This window comes from Homo sapiens, chromosome 3, assembly GCF_000001405.40.
Source record: "Homo sapiens chromosome 3, GRCh38.p14 Primary Assembly".
NCBI classification, from domain to species: Eukaryota; Metazoa; Chordata; class Mammalia; order Primates; family Hominidae; genus Homo; species Homo sapiens.
The window spans coordinates 194,978,389-195,002,375 of record NC_000003.12 but is presented as its reverse complement, the minus strand read 5'-3'; the positions used below and the strand labels follow the sequence as shown (position 1 = coordinate 195,002,375).

The window sequence follows — 23,987 nt, the reverse complement described above, 5'->3', positions numbered from 1 at the left end:
ATGGAAGGCTGACGCTTGAGTTGCATGAATGCAGAATTTCAAATATGTCAACAAGGTTTAATGGGCATTGTGATCAGAATGCTTTGGTTAAATAAACAGGTGCAGCAAGAAATGCCAATAAGCACACAGTGTGTCAGGTGTTCACCTACGGGGAGGCAACCTCCCTCCCCCTCCTGCCCTTGGCCACTGTCCAGGCCAGCCCAGCTGTGACAAAGGGATTAGAAGTCCTGCCCCAGCTCGCCCAGCCAGCAAGCCCACCACCTGCTGGCTGTCTGAGGCATCCTCTCCCCTGATGCAGCCACACCACACCCCTCCTTACTGCAAGTGAATTCTGCAGACATTAGCAAAACTTGTGGGAATGTGGCAGGAGGGCTGGGACTTGTGAGCTGGGGCTCTTGCCCTCAAGAAGCCCCCAGTCAAGCCGAGAAGACAGGTCTAAGCCCAAGAAACCAAATTCTTCTTGTGGGCTGAAGGCTTCTCTGTACTTCATCCTGCATGTTCACTGAGTCAGCCATGCCCAGCAGAAATAAGAGTTGTGTCAATGGATGTGACATTGGCCAAGTGCTCTGGGAGGGAGGGAGATTTCATCTGCTGGAAAAATGGGGAAGGCTTAACTTTGGTGGTCTTTGGGTTGGACCTTGGAGGATGGGAGGAAGTCAAAAGAGAAACTTGGGAGGGGAGAGAGGCAAAGGGAACTCAGAGGTTGGAAGATGTCTGCACAAAGGCAAATCAATGGTTTGACTCAGGGGTCAGGGCTTGACATTGGGAGGGAGGGGGAGGATAGAGAAGCATCCCTGTTGAAGCCAGAGGAGAAGGTGGTGTGGATCACACAGAGACCTGAACAGCCTGTAGAGGAATTTCAGCCTTACTCTGTGGGGCAATTGGGAGCTAAGAAAGGCAGCTTTACACAGACCAAGGCCGGCTAGTCTTGAGTCTGCGGTTGTCACTGAGTAGCAGGGATTGTGGCAGCATGGAGGCGCAGGGTTAGGTGGCAGGAGCATGCCCACATCACACTCATGCCCCTTTATATTGACTAACACTAAATTCGCACTGTGATGGAGATGGCCCACTGGCCCAGGTGGCCGTTTGGCAGATCCGTTTCTTTTCCTCTGCCTCTATTGAAATGTACATGAACGTGATTGAGGATAACTGCTCCGAATCAGCACTGTCTGGCTCAAGAATATGTCTGGGGAACCCCAGGAGCCCTTAGCCCCTCGGTTTGAGAAATACTGTCCTAGCTACTCTGCTATTCCCCTCGGCTTACAAAGACCACCAGAGAACTCCAGATCTATATCGCAGCTTTTTGGTCCAGGTCAAACTGATTTCACCACACTGCTTTTGCAGTTATGTCACTGGCCACGTTGAGGGGCCTTATAAAGAGGTTAATGTGTTCCCTGAAAAGATTCTGTTGAGAATGTGCTCTAACATGCCAGCATTCCTTCACTTTAAAGACCTAAGTGAGAAATGCCTCAGGCCCTAGAACCAAGAAGAGTTGATGCTTTCCTGAAAACTGGTCTTTTCTTACCATTATCTTGGTCTCAAAACTGATCACATTTTCCTCTCTGCATTGGCTGGTAGGAAGCTCAGAAGCAAAAATATGGCTCACCTTTAACAAAGTGCATAGGACCTTACCATGCAGCTTAGAGGCTAATTTTATTTTAGTGTCCTCACTTTACTCTTCTTTCCCATCCAATTTCTTTGCATAAGTCTTTACAATCCTATGCCAAATTTATTTTTGTGAGCCACCAAGAATCATATGAAGTGGGGCATAACAAAATCAAAATTAATCAGGACTCATGGGCATTAAACTGGAAGAAATTTTAGAGAGAATCTAGTCTAACTCCTTAAATTACAGACAATGCAATTAAGACTTTGAGAGGAGTAGCGTGTCAGGCTGCCTCAGTGAGCCTGGGGTTTTGGGGAGAGCCTGGATTTCCACCTGGGTACCCTGATCTCACCTTTCCTTTCTGGTGTGCCTCCAAACCAAAAAATCTAGAAGACTTTTCTAACTCTTGCATGCAGTCTCATGAAACCATCTCTGTTTGAAATAATCAACCCATCCTGTCACTCTAGCTTCCTCTAAGGGATTCTCCTTGCATCACCAGCCAGGTTAACATACCCCTATGCTCTCTAGCCAAAGCCGGGGGAAGGCACCATCTTCTGCACTGCAGTGGGCAGGACCCGGACATTGAAAAAACATCCTGTTTTATGTAAGATCGTTCTGATGTGTACTCTAGACCTTGAAGTGAGCTGGTTGTCAGTGGTGATTAAAACTCAATGCAGAGGATGCTCTATTTTACCATCCAGAGGAAGGGCGGGGGACAGGTATTTTATAATAAACCTTGAGAGAGAGATTGCGAGAGAGATGGGGATGACAGCTTTTCTCCTGTGTTGACTCCCAGGCAGCAGTGAACCAGCCCCTCTGCCTCATTTGGAAACTGTAAACACCCAGCGGCATTATCAGAAATTCACCAGGGATGAGATGTCTAGTGAAGAAGTAGTTGGGTGGAGGGGACAGTCAGTGATTTTTTTCTCTTTTTTCCCCACAGCACTCTTTTTAAAAACATGACATGGGCTCTGCTGAATGAGCTAGCTCACAGCCAGCCTTTGGTGGGGGTCTTCTGGGGCTCTGGGGTAAGTGTGTCCAGCCCAGCCCCTTGGTGGGTGAGTGGGCCTAGGCTCGTGTCTGGGGTTCCAGCTCTGGGCAGCCTTGCTGCGCTCAGCTCTTCCTCCATACTCAGAGCTGTGCATAGAGGGCTGGGAGGGTTTGGGGAATGTGGGGATTCTGGGCGGTGCTGGAAAGCACGCCTCTGCCTCCTCCGGGTCTCAGCTGAATCCTTACCTCCTCGGGAATCCATCCTCACCTCCCTGACCAGTTCTCACCATTCTATCCACCTCCGTCTCTTGGCTGTTGTGATGGTTGCAACTTTACATTAATTTGTGGAATTGCACATTTAATGTCTGTCTCTTCCAAGGAACTGTGAGGTCCAGGAGGGCCCACAAATAATGGTCACCACTCACCAATCTGCTGAGCTCAGTGCCTGGCACACCAATGTTGTTCAATGAATAGTTTTTGGTTGAATGAATAAATGATTGAATGAGTTAGTCTCTCAACCTTGTTAAGCATCTACTGTACTTGATCTCTTGAATCAGGCCCCGTGTCCCCTGGGGCTGGGTCGGGGCTGGGAAACTGAATCTCTTGAATGAGGTCCCATGTCCTCTGGGGCTGGGGCTGGGCTGGGAAGAGCACTCACCCCCTGTCATTAACTCTTGGGCAGGGATGATTCCCAGGCAGATGGGCTCAGGATGGCTGTAGTTATGGGAGGAGAGTGTGAGCTTCAGCGTGGGAGGTCATCCTGGGAGAGGCCTAGAGACTGAGATCAGAGCCGAGGGGCAGACCACGGAACAGGGAGGTGTCTGGGTGGCTGGACATGCCATGGAGTTCTGGTCCAGTCTTTCATGTCTTAAACAGGATGATAAGACAAGTGAGTACGGCTTGAAGTGTATATGTTTTCAAATCTGTTTTTTGTGATTGTAAAATTATTGAAAGAAGAAGAAAACTGAGTGGTTAATATGTACGTGAAACATCTTTAATAATCATGGCAATGCAAATTTAAACAACAATGAAATAGCATCTCCATCCATCATCTTGGCTAAAAGTAATCTGGTTGACAGGGCCAGTACTGGGGAAGACGTGGAGAAGCCCTCATAACGCCGTTGGTGGGAGGTAAATCAGCAAGCTGCTTCGAGAGCTGTTGGGGGGTACTTGGTGGACCCTAAAACGGCAGGCCCCAGGACCTAGGGATTCCATTTCTAGCTATGTTCTCTAGTCTAAAGCAATGGTTCTCAAACCACATGTAGTTTGCCTCCAAACTGCAGATTGCCAGGCACTGACCCCAGAGTTTCTAATTCAGTCTGGGGTGCAGCCTGAGGATTTTCCCTTCTGTCAAGTTCTCAGGGGATGCTGATGCTGCTGGTCCTGGAACCACACTAGAGAACCACTGCTCTAGTGTGCACAGGAAAACACGCCCATCGATATTCACTGTATTGCGTCTTACAGCAAAAATTAGAAACAAATCAGAAGTCCATCAGAGGAGGAATAGATGAATATATGTGGCAAATTATGCAATAGACTATTATACGGAAGTTAAGTGAATGAAAGAAAATGTATATTTCAACGTGAAAGATGCAAGTTGCAAGGTGTTATACACAGTATGATGCATTTTATTGGTACATTTAAGAGGAATTTAAAAAAATCTATTATACTTTTTTTTTTTTTGAGACGGAGTTTTGCCCTTGTCGCCCAGGCTGGAGTGCAGTGGCACAATCTTGGCTCACTGCAACCTCCACCTCCCAGGTTCAAGCAATTCTCCTGCCTCAGACTCCTGAGTAGCTGGGACTACAGGTGCACGCCACCAAGCCCAGATAATTTTTATTTTTATTTTTTTTAGTAGAGACAGGGTTTCACCATGTTGGCCAGGATGGTTTCAGTCTCCTGACCTCATGATCTGCCCGCCTCGGCCTCCCAAAGTGCTGGGATTACAGGCGTGAGCCATCGCGCCTGGCCCAAAAATCTATTATAATTCTATGTAGTCAATATAATACAAATATTAAAACATGGACTGGATCTACATCTAATCTAAAAAAGCTGTTGTCTCTGGAGAGGTTGGGAGGGACTAGGACTGGGGAAGAGAATAAAGAAGATATTATCTAAAGAAGATTTTATCTAATCTGTTTTGTTTTATTCTTTAAAAACATGAGATTGATGTAAATAAAATAGGATCTTTCCTAATTTTAGGGAACAGCTACATGGCTTTTATTGTATTACTCTTTGGGCTTTTCTATATTCTTTAAGTGATTTTTTAAATAAGTAATGTATGTTCATTGTAGAAAATTAGAAAATGCAAAAAAGTATAAGGATAGAAATGAAAAGCATCCACAAATACACTGTAAACATTTTGCTATTCTTTCCAGTTTTTACTTACAAAAACCAGATAGGGATCATACATACAGTTTACATTTTTACAACCTGCTTTTGTGGCTTGCTATGATATTGTAAATAGTCTTCCATCCATTAAATTGTTTTGAGGAATATCCTTTTAATTCACTATATAATGCCTCTTACGGTGGTACTTTTATTTAACCAATGCCCTATTGGTCTTTCAGCTTTGTTACTGTTATAAATAACGGGGGTATGAATACCTTAGCATAAGAGCTTCGATGAGGCGACTTCCTTCTGTGCTTGGATGTAGCAGTGTCCTTGAGTTTTGGGTCACAAGGCATGTGATCTTGTCTGTCCCACTGGGCCTGGGATGGGGTGGCTTGGGGGTGTGAATGAAATAGGTCTGTGTGTCCAGTTAAGTTCCCGGAAGCCAAGAAGGCCTGGGCAATGGAGCTCATAGAGTGAGCTTGCAAGCTGTCCCCCGTCCTCCCTTCATTTATTCAGGCCAGGCAGGTTTTCAGGACGTTGGGCGACCCTGGGGCAGAGACATAGGGCAGTCAGAGATGACGGGGCCTGGTCTAGATGGGAGAGGCAGGAACAACCACCAATCTCACAGGTTAGGGAGGGAAACCCAGAGAGCTGCAGGCGTTCCGAGGAGGGCGTGATCAGCTCCATGCGTGATGGCAGCTGGGAAGAGTTTGGAGAGGAGGTTATATAAGAATGGGTGTTTTGTTTTTGTTGTTGTTGTTTTGTTTTTATGACTAGCTTTATTGAGGTCTATTTTACAGATCATGAAATTCAATCATTTTAAGTGTAAAATTCAATGACTTTTAGTAACTTACTGAGTGGCACAACCATCACCAGAAACCAGTTTTAGAGCATTTTCACCCCCAGTAAGATCCCTCACACCCATTTACAGTTAATCCCCATCCCTACACCCACCCCTCGACACCCTCATCTACTTTGTGTCTCTACACATTTTCAGGTTTAGGTTACATTTTGAAGGATGGAAACTGGACTTTCAATTAAGTCAGTAGCAAGGGAAGCACAAAACCAGGGGATACGGTGGTGCTGCTTTCCAGCAGAAAAGCAGTTCAAAGCCCGGACTGCGCCTTCTGGAGCGAAATTCAAATGTGGAAGCTTCGAATAGTCAAGAGCTCTGCACCCCCCGGAAGTACGTGTTCTACCTTTGGTCAAGTAAAGCACTTCTTTCCTTTCACCTCTTGGGCGCCTGGATTCCTTTCTTCCTGCGTTTCCTAAGCTCACTCAAGTGGAGGCAGAGCTGTCGTTGGCTTTGAAAATACATTTGGCTGTGGGTTCTCTGGCCTGGCACTCGTGGGAAAGCTGGGCTGGGGAGTCTCAGCAGGATCAGGGCATGAGGGCCTGGAGGCCTGGCAGAGACTGTAGAGGACGCGGTGGCAGAGTGATCTCAGTGAGAGTCTTCGCTCCCTTCGTGTCATCTGACCTGGTCCTGCTGTGAAGTCCTCAGGACCTCTGCCCACCTTAGAACCAAGCATTTTTTCACCCTGAAAAGGGGTTGAGCAGACCATCTGTGTTCAGTCTGTCTGCCTTTACATAATCAGGTGCCTTTCAGATGCCTTGTACCAGATTCTTCAAAAATTACATTACAAAGTTTCCAGAAATAATGCAAGCTCAATGCAGAAAAACAGCACAATAAATAACAATTCAAAGTCAACCCTAAGATCTCATCCGAAGGTCACTGCTGCTGCCTTTGTGGGTCTATACTTCCTTTTATTTATGTATTAATTTCCGTGGCATCTTGTTGGCTCCCATGAAATCCCCAGGGCAGTGGGAGAAGGTGCCTTCGATCATCAGGGCACAAGCCTGGCTCTCACTGGCCTGGAAGGCCCGCAGCCTGGGGCTCTCACACTGCCTTGGAGATGGGCTGCTCTGGTACTTTGAACCCGCTGTTTAATGTTAAGCTTGGTTTTTCCCTTTGATGTGAGTCAAGTGCTCAGCTCTGGGGAGACAGTCCCTCCGCCTGGGGCATTATCTGCTATGTAAAGGAAAAGAGTCAACCTGAAGCTATCAGCAGCTCTAAATTCTCTAAAGACGATCTGGGCAGCAGGTTGCAACACATCTCGGGATCATTCCATCTTTGTAGAAGCCATTCCCATTAATCATTTATTAATTACTCTCCCAATTGAGACAATGAAGTAGATGTAGGATTAAAAAAGAGGCCCATATTCATTTCCCATCTGAGCACCCTGAAGTTCATGGATCCTGGAAGAATGTGAAAAATGGACTCCATTCTTCTTCTTTCTACTTTGCATTTTTCTCTGGGTTTGGCTTCAGCCACAAAGGGAGCCCTAGGAAGGCAGGGGGTTGGGGGGGAGGTTGTGCACTGGTGTGTGCAAGAGTGTACACATGTGTGTGACACCCAGTGGTCCAGGCTCAGAGGGGAAGGACACGGACCCTGTGAAGTCTGAGGAAGGCTTTGGGGCAGGAGCTGGGGCAGGGCAGGGGCTGCCTGCAAAAGGGGGAACCCAGAGAGCCGAGCCTGTGTGCTAGGGCTGAGGGTTAGAGAAGGGAAATAGGGCAGCAGCTCCTTGGGCTTGTCCCAGAGGGCTGGACGGGTCCTGACTCTGAGCTGGAGAGCAAGGGACAGTGGGATGGAAAGGATGTCACGGGGCATCTCCTGACCCCAGGGAACTGTCCTGGGTCCTGTAGGTGTATGCTCCCATTTAATCCTCCCCCATACTCTGGGAGTCAGGTATCAACCACCACATTTTGGACTTAAATTAGGGCTCAAAGAGGTGGAGTGACTTGCTCAAAGTCACACGGTGGATGAGTGCGGGGTTGGGATTGGAGTCCAGGTGTTCAGACCTCAGCGTCTTGGCATTTTCCCTGATCCATGCTGCCATTAACGCAAGCAGCCCAGCCTGGCAAACTCCAAAAGTCTGTCTTGGAAGTAAAAAAGCCAAATAATGTTGATTTTCTGCTGTTTTGGGAATCAAGAAAGACTTCTCCCTTTTTTAAGGGATAAAACGTGCCCCCACCCCCACTTTTTTTTTTTTTTTCAGGGAATACAGATGATGACTGAAGAATTTCCAGAGAATCTAGTGGAGGTGGGAAAGTGTCCTTCTCCAGGGAGGGTCCTGAAGATGGGAGCAGATTCCTGCTCTCCAGCAGCCCCTCCTCACCCAGGCCTCAGTTTCCAGGGAGAACATGTTCAGCCTTCCTCCGTGAGAGGGGCTGGGAGGCAGCGAGGGTGATGCCCCGAGGGTAAGTGTGGGGCGACGGGGGCAGCTGGGAGGCAGCGAGGGTGAAGCCCCGTGGGTAAGTGTGGGCGGGCGGGGGCAGCTGGACTGAGTCACCGGAACCTGCAGTGAAGAGAGACTGTGGATGCCAGCGCCCGAAGGCAGCGGTGTTCAGAGTGAGGGCTGCAAACCCCTGCAGGTGGAAGAGGTCACCAAGGGGCCTTGAGCCCTGCAGGTTTTGAGGGAATCATGCTCTGATTCTCAGCCTCACAGGCATGACGATCTTTCCTAAACTCATCTCCCTGGGATGCACTTGGGTTGACGGTAATGCTTCCCCTGCCTGGAGAAAGCAAGATACCCATCGTCCTGTGAGAAATAGGGAAACCCCTGGGGTGCTACACAAAAGGGAGACTTTTTTTTTTTTTAGATGGAGTTTTGCTCTTGTTGCCCAGGCTAGAGTGCAATGGCTCGATCTCGGCTCACTGCAACCTCCACCTCCCAGATTCAAGCGATTCTCCTGCCTCAGCCTCCCGACTAGCTGGGTTTACAGGCCTGCGCCACCACACCCACCTAATTTTGTATTTTTAGTAGAAATGGGGCTTCTCCATGTTGGTGAGGCTGGTCTTGAACTCCCGACCTCAGGTGATCCACCCACCTGGGACTCCCAAAGTGCTGGGATTACAGGCGTGAGCCACCATGCCTGGCCGGGGAGACGCCTTTTAAGGACTAATCAAGCCATTAAAACACCCTGGAGTACAAAACCGTTCCTGGTCTTATGCATATTTCCGTTAGAGGTGAAGTCTCACTTTAGAAATAGGGAATTGGGACTCAGGCTGGGATATTCTCAATCCAGAAATGTAGTAGAGTCAGGTAGAGGGAGTAATAACTGTTTTTGTTTAAGAATTTTAATTCTTCTAGCCCCCAAATATAACTGTAATGTTTCCTGAGTCTATCATGAAAAATATACAAATACAACTTTTATGTGATGTCTTTCCTATGTTGTGCTCATTATTTAATAAAGTAGGTAGGCCAAGCGTGGTGATTACAGAATCCCAGCACTTTGGGAGGCCGAGGCGGGCAGATCACGAGGTCAGGAGATCGAGACCATCCTGGCTAACAAGATGAAACCCCGTCTCTACTAAAAATGCAAAAAAATTAGCCGGACGCGGTGGTGCGCGCCTGTAGTCCCAGCTACTCGGGAGGCTGAGGCAGGAGAATGGCGTGAACCCGGGAGGCGGAGCTTGCAGTGAGCCGAGATCGCGCCACTGTACTCCAGCCTGGGTGACAGAGCGAGACTCCGTCTCAAAAACATAAAAAATAAATAAATAAATAAAGTAGGTAAAAGTTATTTTATCCAATCACATCATAAATTGTCCTAGGAGAGTTAACTTCATCTTATTTCATTTTGTAGAATGTCTTATATTTTCTACTTCCCATTTAAAATATGCTAAGTGTGGACCAACTTTTTTAGTGGAATTTATCTTTCTCTTTTATTAAATACATAGTAAAATGTGATCATTATATTCAGTGAAATTAATTGAATTATTTCTGATTCTTATTTAATTAATTCCCCAAGCGAAACACCAGAGTTCAAAGAAGTATGGCTTTTATCATATTCCTCACTTCCTAAAACACTTGCAATTTTGGCTTCACAGTACATTATTATAAACTTTATAAATTAAGTAGTCAGTAATCATATATTGAGCTATTATTTTGTTTTTAAAGCTTATAAAATAGGTTAAATATTACATTGGACAAAAATGATGTAAAGCTCGAACCATTTTTAAAACACTACCTTATGATGTTCTTTTACAAAGTTTATCTTCTACTAAGTTTTATAGTATTCCATAAAATGCCTGTTAGCATGTTTCTAAAGCTGGACTTTTTCTGACATAAAGCCTGATTTGGTTGATAGATTTAATAGTAAGGACTGGTTTGATAATTAAGTTATATGACATATTTTTCATAATTTGAATTAACTAAATTTGCAGTTTTAGGTTTTCTGAAAATATATTTAAAGCAAGTGATGATATAAAAGCATTTTATCAAAATGTTGTATTGTCAAAAGTTTAATTAAGTAATAGATTTTGATTTCCTAAACTCGTCTGACAATAATGGGTTAAGTCAAGTACCTCTTAGGGAAAGAGTAATGGGTCTGATTAAGAGTCATTTCCTAAGTCTTAATAGAATTTTTTTGTATTCTTTCCAGAAGATGACAAGGATAATGACTCTTGAGACTGGTAAAAATCCTTTTGCCAAACAAATGGTTTTCAGTTTTTGGTTTTCATCAAAGTTAATAGTAGTTTACTACATGATTTTCAGGCACGTAAGTCAGTAGTTCAGAGAATTAAATGACCTTTTTAGAACAAAACTCCTTCCACTCCCATCTACTGATATGACTAGAGTTTCTCAATGCCTACATCTAAAAAACCAGAAAAATAGGTATAAAATTGATGCTCAACTCCGACTCATTAAAACAGTAAGTCATATTCATCAACTGATACACAACCTAGTTGGAAAAAAGCCAGCTCCATTTATCTCCATTTATCTCATTAAGAAGTGCATTTGTAATAAAAATTGCTTTTAAAATTTTCTAATTATTAAATTTTAATTAGGTTCCTTGCGTCCAGGTCCTATTCTCCTGCCTCAGTTTCACGTAATGCAAGTGTTTTCCACTAAAAGCGAAGATCTAAACTGCCCGAGGGAGCATCACCACTCACAGCTTTTATATATTGGATCACCTGGTGACATTGAATTTAAGGAGCAAAGGAGGGAAGAGAGAGACAGAAAGGGAGAGGAGGAGGAGGAGGAGGAAGAGGAGGAGAAGGAGGAGGAAGAGGAGGAGGAGGAGGAAGAGGAGTAGGAGGAGGAAGAGGAGGAGGAGGAAGAGGAGGAGGAGGAAGAGGAGGAAGAGGAGGAGGAAGAGGAGGAGGAAGAGGAGGAGGAGGAGGAGGAAGAGGAGGAAGAGGAGAAGGAAGTGGAGGAGGAAGAGCAGGAGGAAGAGGAGGAAGAGGAGAAGGAGGAAGAGGAGGAAGAGGAGGAGGAGGAAGAGGAGGAGGAGGAAGAGGAGGAGGAGGAAGAGGAGGAGGAGGAAGAGGAGGAGGAAGAGGAGGAGGAAGAGGAGGAGGAAGAGGAGGAGGAGGAAGAGGAGGAGGAGGAAGAGGAGAAGGAGTAGGAGGAGGAAGAGGAGGAGGAAGAGGAGGAGGAGGAGGAGGATTGCTCTAGAGCACAGCAGGCCTCTGGATAGGGAATAATAACATGACCAAGCATGTTTGACCCTGTCTAATATGTGAATATTTAACTTCTCTGTGTCTCTCTTCTCTGGCTAAACCTGCCGTTTCCATCATCCCCATGACTTGGTCTGCAGACTGCTCTGTGCCCCTCTGTGCTGGTCACTTCCCTTTAGAGTCTTTCTAGTCGGCCAGTGTTCCCTTCCCAGGGCCGGGAGAGGAAAGGAGTTCACCGCAGTCATACTGGTTAGATCCATGACTCCTAGCACGAGACCAACCACACTCCTCTCTGTGACTGAGCACCTGTGCTGGCACAGATGTGTGCTCCAGGGGAGCCCTAGCTAACCTGAAGGATGGGCTCTAAGCTTAGCACACTAGGTTAGAATCCTGTGTAGTCCACATTACCCTTGAAAGTCCCCTAGGAAGGCATAACACTGGAGTCAGACACTCTCTCTCTCTCTGTGAGTGCATCCCGGCCAGATTTTCCTCCAGCACTGGAATCGTTAGTTCTTCGATTGAACACCAGAGGAAGTCGTTGACAGGTATCTGGAGATCATGCACCATGAAAAACGTGTCTCTTTAGTCATTAGGATCATACTCTGCCCAATCAAGTGCTCATCCTCTGACAGGCATGTGGGAAATGACACTGGGGAGGGGATAATAAATGTGTCTTCTCTATCATGTCATATGGCCACACTAAGGCATGGAGTCAATGCCTTGGGATCAAAGACACCCTTTATTTATTTATTTATTTTTGAGACGGGGTCTCACCCTGTCACTAGGCCAGAGTGCAATGGCACCATCTCAGTTCACTGCAACCTCTGCCTCCCTGGTTCAAGCGATTGTCCTGCCTCAGTCTCCCAAGTAGCTGGGACTACAGGCATGCACCACCATGCCTGGCTAATTTTTGTATTTTTAGTAGAGACAGGGTTTCACCATCTTGGCCAGGCTGGTCTCCATCTCTTGACCTCGTGATCTGCTCACCTCGGCCTCCCAAAGTGCTGGGATTACAGGCGTGAGCCACCGCACCCAGTCAAAGACACTCTTTAAATAATCTCTCTCTGCCCTCCCCCAGTGGATTCGTTGACTCCATAGGTTACATATATGTATGATGCAGCCACACTCCTTCTCAAATCCTGACAACCAGATAGCCATGGCAGAGGACACTGAGTGTCTGGTCTGTGTAAAATACAACCTCTTATCTTCTGAGGGTGATCCTTCTCCTCCACCCCTGTGTGTAGATTGCAAATGGCCACAGATTCTTTTGAGAGGTGGAGTCTGTCTCCCTACTCCTTAAACCTGGACTTGCCTGGTGACTTGCTTTGATCAGTAGAATGTGGCAGAAATGATGCTACGTGGTTGCCAAATCTAGGCCTTAGGAAGCCTTGTGGTGTCTTGCTCTTGCCGCCTTGGACTTCTGCTGCCGTGTGAATGCGCTGCTGGAGAACCGAGACACCCTGGCTGATAGCATGCTCAGGGATGAACATGTGTATGAGGCCGTCCTAGGCCATGCAGGCCCAGCCGGGCTGTCCGCTAACTGGAGCTGCATAAGTGACCCCAGATGAGACTAGCAGAAAAACCACTGCTGGTTCCAGCCCACATTGTTGACTCAGAGAGTGTGAACCAATAAGTGTCATGTGAAGCCACTAGGTCAGGAGGATTTGTTAGTTGTTGCAGAGACAAATGTGGGCTCCCCTTCCGTATGGTGGGCTTGTTGTTGGGAGGTGGCCACTCGACCAGACACTACATCTCCCCACTCTTCCATGTCAAGTATGGCCACCATAGAGCTGGCTCTCGCCAGTGGAGTATGAATGGAAGTCACGTGCAATACCCCTGGGCTGAGGCTTAGGAGTGGATGGGCTTTCTCCACTCTGTCTTCCCCCTTCTGTTGACTGGAAACAGAGGCCTTCTGGGTCCTCGGGGATGGGGAAACCACAGGAAATGATGAACCTGAGTTCCTGGTCCCCATGTGACGAATAGCCCACCCATAAGGAATGCTGGCGTTGGATGTTATAGGAGTGATCAACTTCTTTTGTGTTAAGACTTTGAAGGTTTGAGGTGTTTGTTAGAGCAAGTGACTAATAGAGCTCACAATGACAAATTTCTCTGGTGGGCACTACTCCAAGCCTTTTACATTTATTAACCTCCTTCATCCTTCCAGCAGCCCCACAAAGAAGGGATTATTTTCACCTTGACAGAGGTGGAAACTGCCACTCTAAGGGATGAAGTGAATTTCCCAAGGGCGCACCTAGAATAAAGTGGGTGGGGACTAGATCTAGACAACCTGTGAGCTAGTTCCTGGTCCTGCCCTGTCTCTCCTGCGCCCTCTGGGGCAGTTTCCTCGTCTGTAAAATGGATTGGGAGAGAGGAGGCTAAAATCACGAGCTTTCCTCTAAAGCCCTGACTTCCTAGGTTTCTGTGGTTCTCAGACTTGACATTGGGACACAGGTACAGGAGAGTCAGGGCATGAAGGGAATTCACAGTCCTGCTTCCTAAGTCCCAGGAGGTTCATCTTGGTCTCTAGACCGTTCTGTAATCAGTAGCGTGGTGGGGGCAGCCGGGCTGAATTGGCAAATCCTGGGAGCTGCAGTGTTACGACTTAGAAGACAGGAGTCAAAATGTGTGGTACCTGCACGTCGGTGTCTCTCCAGGGAAACCCAGGCCTGGCACTCCCTGTCCACAACAACTCCACAAAGTTTGTACCCGGTGATGGGCATGGTCCTATTGTTGCCTGGGGAGGCCCTGATCAGGGGGCTGGCAGAGTCAGGGCTGTGCCTTGGCATGAGAGAGTTGGAGACAAAAGCTTTGGACAGTAGGTTGGGTAGGGAACTGGAATGCCCTCTCCCGCTACGTGGCACATAGGAAAGCAAAAGCCCAAAGAGGCTGAATGACTTGCCCCAGGTTGCCCAGCCAGCTGGGGCCAGGCCCCTTTTCCTGCGTCATGCTGCCTGCTGGGCCTGGGCTGGGGTCAGCACACCGATGCCTTTTGGCTGTGTTTTTTCCGTGTGTCTGATGTAGAGAAGAATTTTGAAAATATACTTGGGAGAAGCTTCTTCTCTTCGGAAGTCCCACGCAAAAAACCTCAGAGGAGAGGACGGCCCTGCACGCCTATTGACTTCAGGGCCTCCAGCTGCCCCTCTCCTCCCTTAAGGTCCTCGCAGGGAACCCTGCTAGACTGACGTCTGAGGGTGGTAGCTGTCAGGCATCTGCCTTGTGTGCAGTTTCAGTTCAGTCAGACACTGATGTGTTCGAGAGGAGGCCTGGATTCTGCTCCCAACGTGGCGAGTCACCAACTACATGATTTGGTGGGAAGCCTCAATTTCCTTATCTGGGAGGAGGGAGGGAAGGGGAGTGGGCTGGACTAAACAGCCTCTGAGGCCCCTGGGACCCTATTCCTGCAGAAATAGGAAAGATATTCTGGGGTGTATATAGGTATCTATATGTCTAGACACACACGCACATATGCATATGTATATATCTATTTATATTCATTCTCTCTACATATGTTTATATTCATATATATTTATATTCATTTTTTTTTTTGAGATGGAGTTTCACTCTTGTCACCCAGGCTAGAGTGCAATGGCACTATCGTGGCTCACCGCAACCTCTGCTTCCTGGGTTCAAGCCATTCTCCTGACTCAGCCTCCTGAGTAGCTGGGATTACAGGTGCCTGCCACCATGCCCGACTAATTTTTGTATTTTTAGTAGAGACGAGGTTTCACCATGTTGGCCAGGCTGGTCTCGAACTCCTGACCTCAGGTGATCCACTCGCCTCAGCCTCCCAAAGTGCTGGGATTGCAGGCGTGAGCCAATGTGCCCAGCCTATTTATATTCATTCTATTTATATATAACATTATATATGTCTCAGCTTTGGAGCCTGATATTTCCAAAAGAAGCCTGGCTCATTAAGGAAGTGGAATGAATATAATCCTATTGTCGCACAACACTTACCGCCTACACACGTCCTCATACAAGGGGGTTGGGGAAGACTCAGGTTCAGCGTCAAGCCCACGGCTCTGGGGTGGGAGGGGCCTGGATTCTTGACTCTTTTGTTGCTTAGTTCCATCTTGGATTTTGCCTTTTCAACTTGGCCCTGGTTCAGCCAGGCCCGACTGGGTGTCTAGGCCCTTGGCAAAGCCATTGCATAAGCAGGAAGCTATGCAGCAACTGTGGCACGGCGGAGACTGTGTGGTGAGGTTGCAGAACCAGGTAGGGAGTCTGACTAGACCAGCCCTGACTCAGCTTGTTTCCAGACGACCTAGGTGTGGGGGGCGTTGCCACATCAGTCAGGACTCCCTCTGTTGAGCGTGACAGAAACCCAGCTCACGCTTGCCTACACACAAAGGGAGGCTTTGGGCTCCAGAAATTGGGAAAGACAGGGGTGGAGTGGACCTCAGGCATGACCGGATGGCAGCCTCAATGCAGCCAGCTCTCAATCTGTGAATGGTCACCATTATTTTCTACTACACACAGGATAACCTGGGACGGGGAGCCGTGGGAGGCAGAGGCCCCGCTGCAGACAACCCAGTTTAAATTACCCTAGTTGGTGACTGTGGAAAAGAAAGAGCTCAGAGTATACAGGTTCCAGGGAAGGCTGTGGTCAGCTGCCTTAGGCCACAGGCCCACCTCTGGGACTGACATCATGTTCAGGCCAAGTTAGGGCAGAGGGGACTGCTATGGCAGTGAAGTCAAATCCTAAGGGATGGGCCATGTGGAGGAGCAGTTCTACGAATAAGGTCAACTGCTATCAGAGAGGGGGCCATCAAGATCCTGAGGATGAGATCAAAAGGCTAGCTACCCACTAAAGATCCAGCAGCAGTCAGCATCCAATAAGGAGGGCACAGAGAGTTTCCTATAAAGAACTGAGGTTGAGGCCGGGCGCGGTGGCTCACGCCTGTAATTCCAGCACTTTGGGAGGCTGAGGTGGGCGGAGCAGGAGGTCAGGAGATGGAGACCATCCTGGCCAACTTGGTGAAACCCCTTCTCCACTAAAAATACAAAAATTAGCCAGGCGCGGTGGCGGGCGCCTGTAGTCCCAGCTACTCAGGAGGCTGAGGCAGGAGAATCGCTTGAACCCGGGAGGGGGAGCCTGCAGTGAACTGAGATGTCGCCACCGCACTCCAGCCTGGCGACAGAGCTAGACTGCATCTCAAAAACAAAACAAAAACAAACAAACCAACAAAAAAAACTGAGGTTGAAACGAGGACACAGTCCAGGAAAGCCAGGGCATGAAGGGGATTTTCAGCAGAGCAGGAGTGAAAGTCTCTGCTTTGTAAGTCCTGGGAGGTCCATCTTGGTCTCCAGACTCTTCTCTGCAGTCATCAGGGTGACAGAGACTGACAGGGTGAGCAGAAGTGGCAACTGCAGAAGGCAGCTACTACTATTTCTGTGGCTGAAGGGGCGAAGGGGGACATTTAGAAACACAGCGGAGGGACCCTGCAGAGCCGACTTGAGGAGAGGTCTCTGCGCGCTGGCGCTGGGGCCCTGCAGACAAGGGCCCACTTGCCTGGGATCCCAACCTCTGAGCAGGGGTCTGAGCCGGCTCTTGGGCCACAGGGTGACGCAACTGCTTCTGCCAGAGTTGGAGAAGCTGCAAGCTGCGTTCCGCTGCGGCTCCGGTTTGGCACTGCCGGCTGTTGGCTGGGGAGGGAGACAACGAGCTCCCAGGAACAGGAAGCCCGCAGGAAGCGGACAGGGAGCAAATAGGAAGAGCAAGTCCTGCCTCCCGCACCAGCCTGGAGGTGCCGCTCTAGCGCCCGGGCTGCAGAGCCTACACAGACCCGGCTGGCAGAGCGGAGCCGCGGGCAGAGTCCCAGCTCCAGCATCACCAGTTGGCGCCCAGAGGACGGGCGTGGAGCATAGAGGTCGTGACTGAAAAGCGGCCCCAGAGGTCTCCCTGCAGGCCTTCTGGTGGGTGCGGGAGTCCGTGCGACAGCCATCTCCCTCGGGAGGCTGGCAACTTCTTGAGGTCAGGGACGTGCTGGCTTCGCTGTGCATCCTCCACGGGGCCTGATATCCTTCCCCAGGCAGAGCAGGCCGTCGTAAGCAGGTGTTATGCTGAAATGAGCTGCATGGCAGGAGCCCTTGTCAGGCAAGGTGTCCTGGGCAGCTCCGCAGCCCTCCCTGCCCAGCCCTCAGAGTTCCTGTGTGTTTTCCCGGGGCGTGGTTCCAGGCTTTCCCTGGAGTCCCGCATGGGGCCAGGGTGGGGGTGTTGAACACTGGACCTTGAACACAACTGGGGCAGGCTCTGCCCAGACCTGGCAGATGCACCCTAAACTTCCTTCTCATCCTCCTCCACCTGCAAATGAAGTCAACAGCAGGATCTTAGCTCCACCAGTTACAGACTGTCTGGCTTTGGGCAGGTTATTGGGCCATTCTGAGCCTCAGTTTCCCCAGAATGCCCTCTTCAGTCTCTTAATCCCTGCACCGGGAGACAGGAAGAGACTCTTGGCCCTCTTCATCCCATCCATTCCTCTCCCCTGTCTCCTGCTCCTTACTGGAGTGTGATTTTAACACAACACATCATAATTATGCTTTGAAAGGCAGTCAGTATTAGCAAGGCAGATATCTGTTTAGCTGGAAAAAAAGGAAAGATCCAGGTCAGCTGGGACTTGCTGAGCAGAGCTCATGGACAGCTGCAGGCGAGGCAGGGGGAGCAAAGGGGTAGAGAAGGCGAGGGAGGACAGGGGCTCTGCAACAACCTGAAGGAAGCAGGAGACCAGGTGGGCCCCATGCCCTGGGCTCCTGTGAATTCCAGAGCAGCTGAGCATTTAGACAGGAATCCTCAGGAGAAGGCTGGAGCCCCCCAGCCTCCAGCTGCATCAGGGCAGGACAGCAGGGCGACAGGCCCAGTGGGGTAAGGGACACAAAAGTGTTTATGGACCATGTGGGAATGGGATTAGGCCAGTGCTCAGTAAAGTAGAGGCTCTGATGAGATTTTATGGGCCATATCAAAGGTTTTTGTATAAGTTTTTCTCCCTCTTCCATCTCAAGTTCTTTCATGGCAGGTACTGGGTCTGAGTTTTCTCTGATGGTGCCCAGAGAGTATGTTGGGTGTATCTGGGGACCACACTCAAGTCTGGGTGAGTGTTTGGAGGGGCTTCTGGCAGCGTGGCCTATGCTACTGGAGAGCCATGGGTCTGTAAGCTCAGACAATGGTGTGAGCAGTGGCAGATGTGACATTTCCCAGCCAGGAGCCCTGGCAGGCAGGCAGAGGGGATCAAAGCACAGGGACCTCATTTTCAGCCAGAGAAGGGATTAATGAAGAGCCCAGTGTCCCAAAGGGAGGCTAATTGGGTTCCGAAGAGTGGTAAGTGTTCCTGGGCTCACTTGGCATGGTCCTACCCTCTGAGCCCTGTTTCCTCAAGAATTTAATTTAATGTCCCTTTGTTGAACGCAGCTGTTGGGGGAGGAGTGATTTGGGCTGTTTGGGCTGTTTTGTTTTCCTCCCTCTTTCTTTTCCATCTTTCCCTCCTTTCTTCTCTTGTGGGAAGATGCCAGTGCTTGGTGAACTGGCTGGTTGGGGTGTCCAGACCAACCTTCTCTGAGCAGGCCTTGAGCACAGAAAGCCCTGGGCTCCCTCCGTCTGCTCAGCAGCCCAGCCATCTGCCTTGCTCAGTCCCTGTGGAGACGTTTGCTGGGGCTGCCTTTCCTTGGAACTGGTGGGTGGGGTCTGGCAGGTGGAGAGATACCAGAGCCCAGGCTTCTAATGCTTTTTTTCTGGGATCCTGACATACAGCAGAGACTGGACATACCTCCCCTTCTTCCCTGCTTGATAACCATCCCTGCTGGGCCTCCCAACTTGAAAGGTGGGACCACAGTACTTGTAGAGAAGGACAGCTCTGGAGTTGGCCTGCCTGTGTCTGAATCCTGACTCTGTGTCACCCTGGGCAAGTCATTTAACTTCTTCAAACCTCAGTTTTTGCTCCTGTGAATTAACTAACCCAAAGAGATATTGTGAGTCTTACGTGAGACAACCAGGGTGAAAGTTCAGCACAGGGCCTGGGATATGGTAAGCATGGTGTAAGGATTATAAGCTTTTATTAGTAGGAGAGCATGTTGGTTTCCCATGGCTGTTTTAACGAATTACCATAAACTTATTCCCTCCCAGTTCTGGAGCTCAGAAGTTCAAAATCATAGACAGCCATGCTCCTCTGAAAGCTTTAGGGGATAATTTGTTTCTTGTTTCTTCCAGTTTCTGGTGGCTGCTGGCATTCCTTGGTTTGTGGCCTCATCACTCCAATCTTCAAGGCCAGCATCTTTGAATTTCTCCCTGATCCATCGTCACATGGCCTTCTCATCTGTGTGTGTGGTCAAATCTCCCTCTGCCTCACTCTGATAAGGATAAATGTGTGTGCCTTTAGGGCGTATCCAGATAACCCTCCGTCCCAAGATCCTTAATTTACTCTCATCTGCAAAGACCCCTTTGTTTTGCCATACAATGTAAAATTCACAGGTCACATGGATTAGAATACTGATTTTTTGTGGGGGCAGGAGTCATTTTTCAGCCTACCAAAGATGGAGCAAAGAATTGGAGTGAGGGGGAGACGCTTGAGTGCCTCATCGTCTTAGGACAGGCTCTCTAGTAGCAGACCGTGGGATGAGGTTCACTGTGCACACAGTTTATCAGGGAAGCGCTCCCAGGAGAAACTGGCAAGACAATGGGAGATGCAGGTCAGAGAAGGGGAAGAAACTCAGTAGGGTGAGATTTGAAGTCCCAGCCTGCTCTGGTTTGAATGTGCCCCCTAAAAGTTCATGTGTTACAAACTTCATTGCCAATGTAACAGTATTAAGACGTGGGGCCTTTAAGAGATCCTTGGATCACAAGAGTGGAGCCCTCCTGCATGGATTACTGCCATTATCATGGGAGTGAATTAGTTCTCTAGGGAGGAAGTTACTTCTCACGAGAGTGGGTTGTTATAAAATGAGCTCAGCTCACTTTTGCAGTCTTTTTCATATGTGCTTGCTTGCTCTCTCTCTGTATAATGCCTTCCCCAATGTTATGATGAGCAAGAAAACCCTCACCAGGTGCTGATGCCATGCCCTTGGACTTCCCAGCCTCCAAGACCATGAGCCAAATAACCTTTTGGTCTTTATAAATTACCCAGTATCAGTCATTCTATTAAAGCAACAGAAAATGGTCTAAAACACAGCATCATATTAATCCCACAGAGAGCTTTAAAAAAGGAAATTCACTGATGAAATTGAATCTCACTTTTATCACTACCCATTCCTATTTCCCTCCTTTCCTTTCCAGAGGAAGTTATTGTCATAAATTTGGTATGTGCCTTCTTGTCCACTTAAAAAATGCTTATAATATATATTTGTGTCCCTAATCATGTAAAGTATTATCTTCCACATTTAAAAAATTTATGTAATAAATTTATGTAATAAATAATCTTTCTCTCTCTCTATATATATGTCACTTTGATTTTTTCACTCATTACGGGGCTTAGAAGATCTGTTCATGTCAAGATACGCAGATATAGTTCATTGCTTTTCACTGCTGCTAATTAATATGTACCACTTTTACTTTAGATGAAAATTTAGGTTGTTTAAAAATGTTTTCATTATTACAAGGCTGAGGTGTTTTCTTACCCTCATAGAAGAGTTTCTCTAGGGTTGATGCCTTGGGAATTTTTTCGGTCATAAAATGTGTGCATTTTTCAATGTTAATAATAACTGCAAAGCTGTTCCCCAAATGGCTGTGCTAATTTATCCCCCACTAGCAGTGTTTCTGAAAGTTCCCATTTTCCTCATATTTTCACAAAGATTAGTATTTTCAGACTTTTAATTTTTTTCTAAAATATGGAGATTGACATGATATGAGAAGATTTCAACTTGTTTTCTGTGAGTGCTTCCATGAGTTGAGCGTCTTTTCATGTATTCATGACCACTTGGATTTCCTCTTCTGTGAATTACCCCTTTAAATCTCTTACCCTCTTTCTATTGGGTTGAGCGCCTTTTTCTTATTGAGTTGTAGAAGGTCTTTATATATTCTGAAGACTACCTTTTTGGTATTTCATATTGTAAACAACTTCTAATCTATCATTTTTTGTCATAAAGCATTTTGATTTTGATATAGACAAATCTATGAATTTTTAAACGGTTTGTTCTCTTATATCTTGAAAGCTTTTTATTACCTGATGTCATAAAGATTTTTTTTTAGTAGCTTAAAAGTTATATTTTTAATATATAGGCTTTAGCCAAACTGGAATTTATTTTTGTGCATGCTATGAGATAGGAACCTGATTTTATTCTTTTACATGGAAAGCCATTGTCCCAACACCAAGTATATCTATATATATGTAGTCTCTAAGCTCTCTGATCTATTAATTTGGTCTATTTTTTATTGCTCTATAAATATCACCCAGTTTTATTAGTATAGCTTTATAAGAATTGTTTATATCCTGTTGGTTAAGCCATATTCCCTAATCTCTTATTGTTCTTTAGAATTGCCTCGAATTTTCTTGATGGGATAGGTGAGATGAAACCTAGAAATCCTACAGTCAATTTTCTCCCAAAGGGAAGCCAGCCTAAAAGTAAAGCTGATACCATGGAAGGGAGAGCAGAGATAGGAAGATGCTCGGTCCTTAATGAGATTGTTGCTGAATCAAGCTACTCTGAAGCTGATCCTGCCTCTGCAACGTCTGTTTATCTAAACTAATAAATCTACTTTATTATTAACCAATTTGGTTGATTCTTCTGTACCCTGTAACCAAAGCTTTATAACGGATACCCCTGGTATATCTTTTTATGTCTATTTTCAAGCTCTGTCATTATGTTTAGTGCATTTCTTACAAACTGCATAATCTGGACATTGGAAGTGTACTCCGAGTGTCTATCTTTTAATAGGAAAAATTAATCCATTTACGATTTCTGTGATTACTGTGATGATTTGGATTTTTGTCTATCTTATTTTGCATTCTTCATGTATTGTTTCTTTGCCTTTCCCACTCCTTTTCTGTGGCTTTCTGTGAGACTGATTAGATTTTCTTCCCTCTTTTGCCCTCTACTGATTTGAAAATTATGCATGTGTTTCTGATCTTTCACTATTTTCCTAAAGCTTATAATATGCATACTTCACTGTGTATTTTTTGAACAAAGCCTGAAGTTAATCAACACTTTATCCTTCTCCTGAATAAAAACAGTAATTTTATACACTCAAAATTTCTTACTTACAACCTTTCACTGCTCACATTTTTTACTATTTCTATTATTTTAATTCCTCATGTTTTTAAATCTCCCAAATTGATGATGATGATGATGATGAGATGATGGTGATAATGATGATTCAATACTTATTTAGATCTTACTAATTTCTTTGTACACACTTACTGTTATGGGTTGAATTGTGTTTCTTCAAAATTCATATGTTGAAGCCCCAATAGCTCAGAATGTAACTGTATTGGGAGATAGGGTCTTTAAAATAAAGAGGTAATTAAGTTACAGTGAGGTGTTTAGAATGGGCCTTAATCCAATATGATGGATGTCCTTAAAAGAAGAAGAAATTTGGACACAGACACATGTCTGCAAAGAGAGGAAAGGCCGTGTGAGGACAGAGCAATAAGACCGGCGTCTGCGAGCCAGAGAGAGAGTCCTCAGAAACCAGAGCTGCTGACACCTTGACCCTGGGCATCCAGCCTCCAGAACTGGGAGAAAATAACTGTCTGCGGTTGAAGCCACCCACTCTGTGGTACTTGGTTATGGCAGCCCTAGCAAATTAATACACTTGTTTTTTTTTTTTTCCAGTCGTGCTTTTCTTCTGGGTTCACTTTCTATTTCCCCTCTGAATTGTTGACTAGTTCAAGTTCTTTCAGAGGGGATCTCTGGGCCTTAAACTATCTTAATATATCTAAACAAATATTTAGCTCACCTCTGTCTAGCTGATCCACCTGGCATATCTTGAACGCCAGTTTACTTGAATATAGAATTCAAGGAGCGAGTCTCAGTCCCTGGGTAATGTGGACTTAGCAGGTCCCATTCCACCAGCTCCTACCTCTCGGAGGAATGACTCTCTTCAGTCATTTCTTCAAAGGGACATGCTCAATAAACAAGAGCTCCTTCACAGGTACATTGAATATTTTTTTCTTTTTTCAGACGAAGTCTCACTCTCACCCAGGCTGGAGTGCAGTGGTACGATCTCGGCTCACTGCAACCTCCACCTCCTGGGTTCAAGTGATTCTCCTGCCTCAGCCTCCTGAGTAGCTGGGATTACAGGTGCCCACCACCATGCCAGGCTAATTTTTGTATTTTTAGTAGAGACAGGGTTTCACTATGTTAGCCATGGTGGTCTTGAACTTCTGACCTTGTGATCCACCTGCCTTGGCCTCCCAAAGTGCTGGGATTACAGGCGTGAGCCACCGCACCTGGCCCTATTGACCTCTTAAGTGTAGACATACTGGAGGAGAAGGAGAGGACCTGTTCTACACTATAATCCCCTTGGAAGACATTTTTTCTTAGCACATTGAAGATATAAGTCATTGTCTTAGGATATCTATGTTGATGAAGGAAGCTCTGCCGTTAATCTGATAGCCATTCTTTTGTAGGTGATCTATCTCTTCATTAAACTAGCTTTTACCATTTTTTTTC

At 46.8% G+C, this 23,987-nt stretch overlaps 1 long non-coding RNA gene across 2 annotated transcripts, besides 2 other annotated features; it reads left to right on the top strand.

The window, feature by feature from the left end:
• Window positions 1-3,418: 3,418 nt before the first annotated feature.
• Window positions 3,419-20,793, top strand: LOC105374294 (uncharacterized). 2 transcript variants are annotated; one of them, XR_924873.2, is made up of 4 exons: window positions 3,419-3,485; window positions 5,928-6,116; window positions 7,987-8,188; window positions 19,591-20,793. It is a non-coding gene; the product is annotated as an uncharacterized LOC105374294 (long non-coding RNA). The 2 variants fall into 2 exon arrangements; XR_924874.1 differs by lacking the exon at window positions 19,591-20,793 and adding an exon at window positions 10,794-10,944.
• Window positions 13,776-14,276: an enhancer, noted in NCBI's record as "H3K4me1 hESC enhancer chr3:194708829-194709329 (GRCh37/hg19 assembly coordinates)". NCBI's record gives its function as "activates a minimal SCP1, AML or CMV promoter by ChIP-STARR-seq in naive H9 embryonic stem cells {active_cell/tissue: H9 hESC(naive)}" and the evidence as "EXISTENCE:reporter gene assay evidence [ECO:0000049][PMID:30033119]".
• Window positions 15,569-16,069: an enhancer, noted in NCBI's record as "H3K4me1 hESC enhancer chr3:194707036-194707536 (GRCh37/hg19 assembly coordinates)". NCBI's record gives its function as "activates a minimal SCP1, AML or CMV promoter by ChIP-STARR-seq in primed H9 embryonic stem cells {active_cell/tissue: H9 hESC(primed)}" and the evidence as "EXISTENCE:reporter gene assay evidence [ECO:0000049][PMID:30033119]".
• Window positions 20,794-23,987: the final 3,194 nt, after the last annotated feature.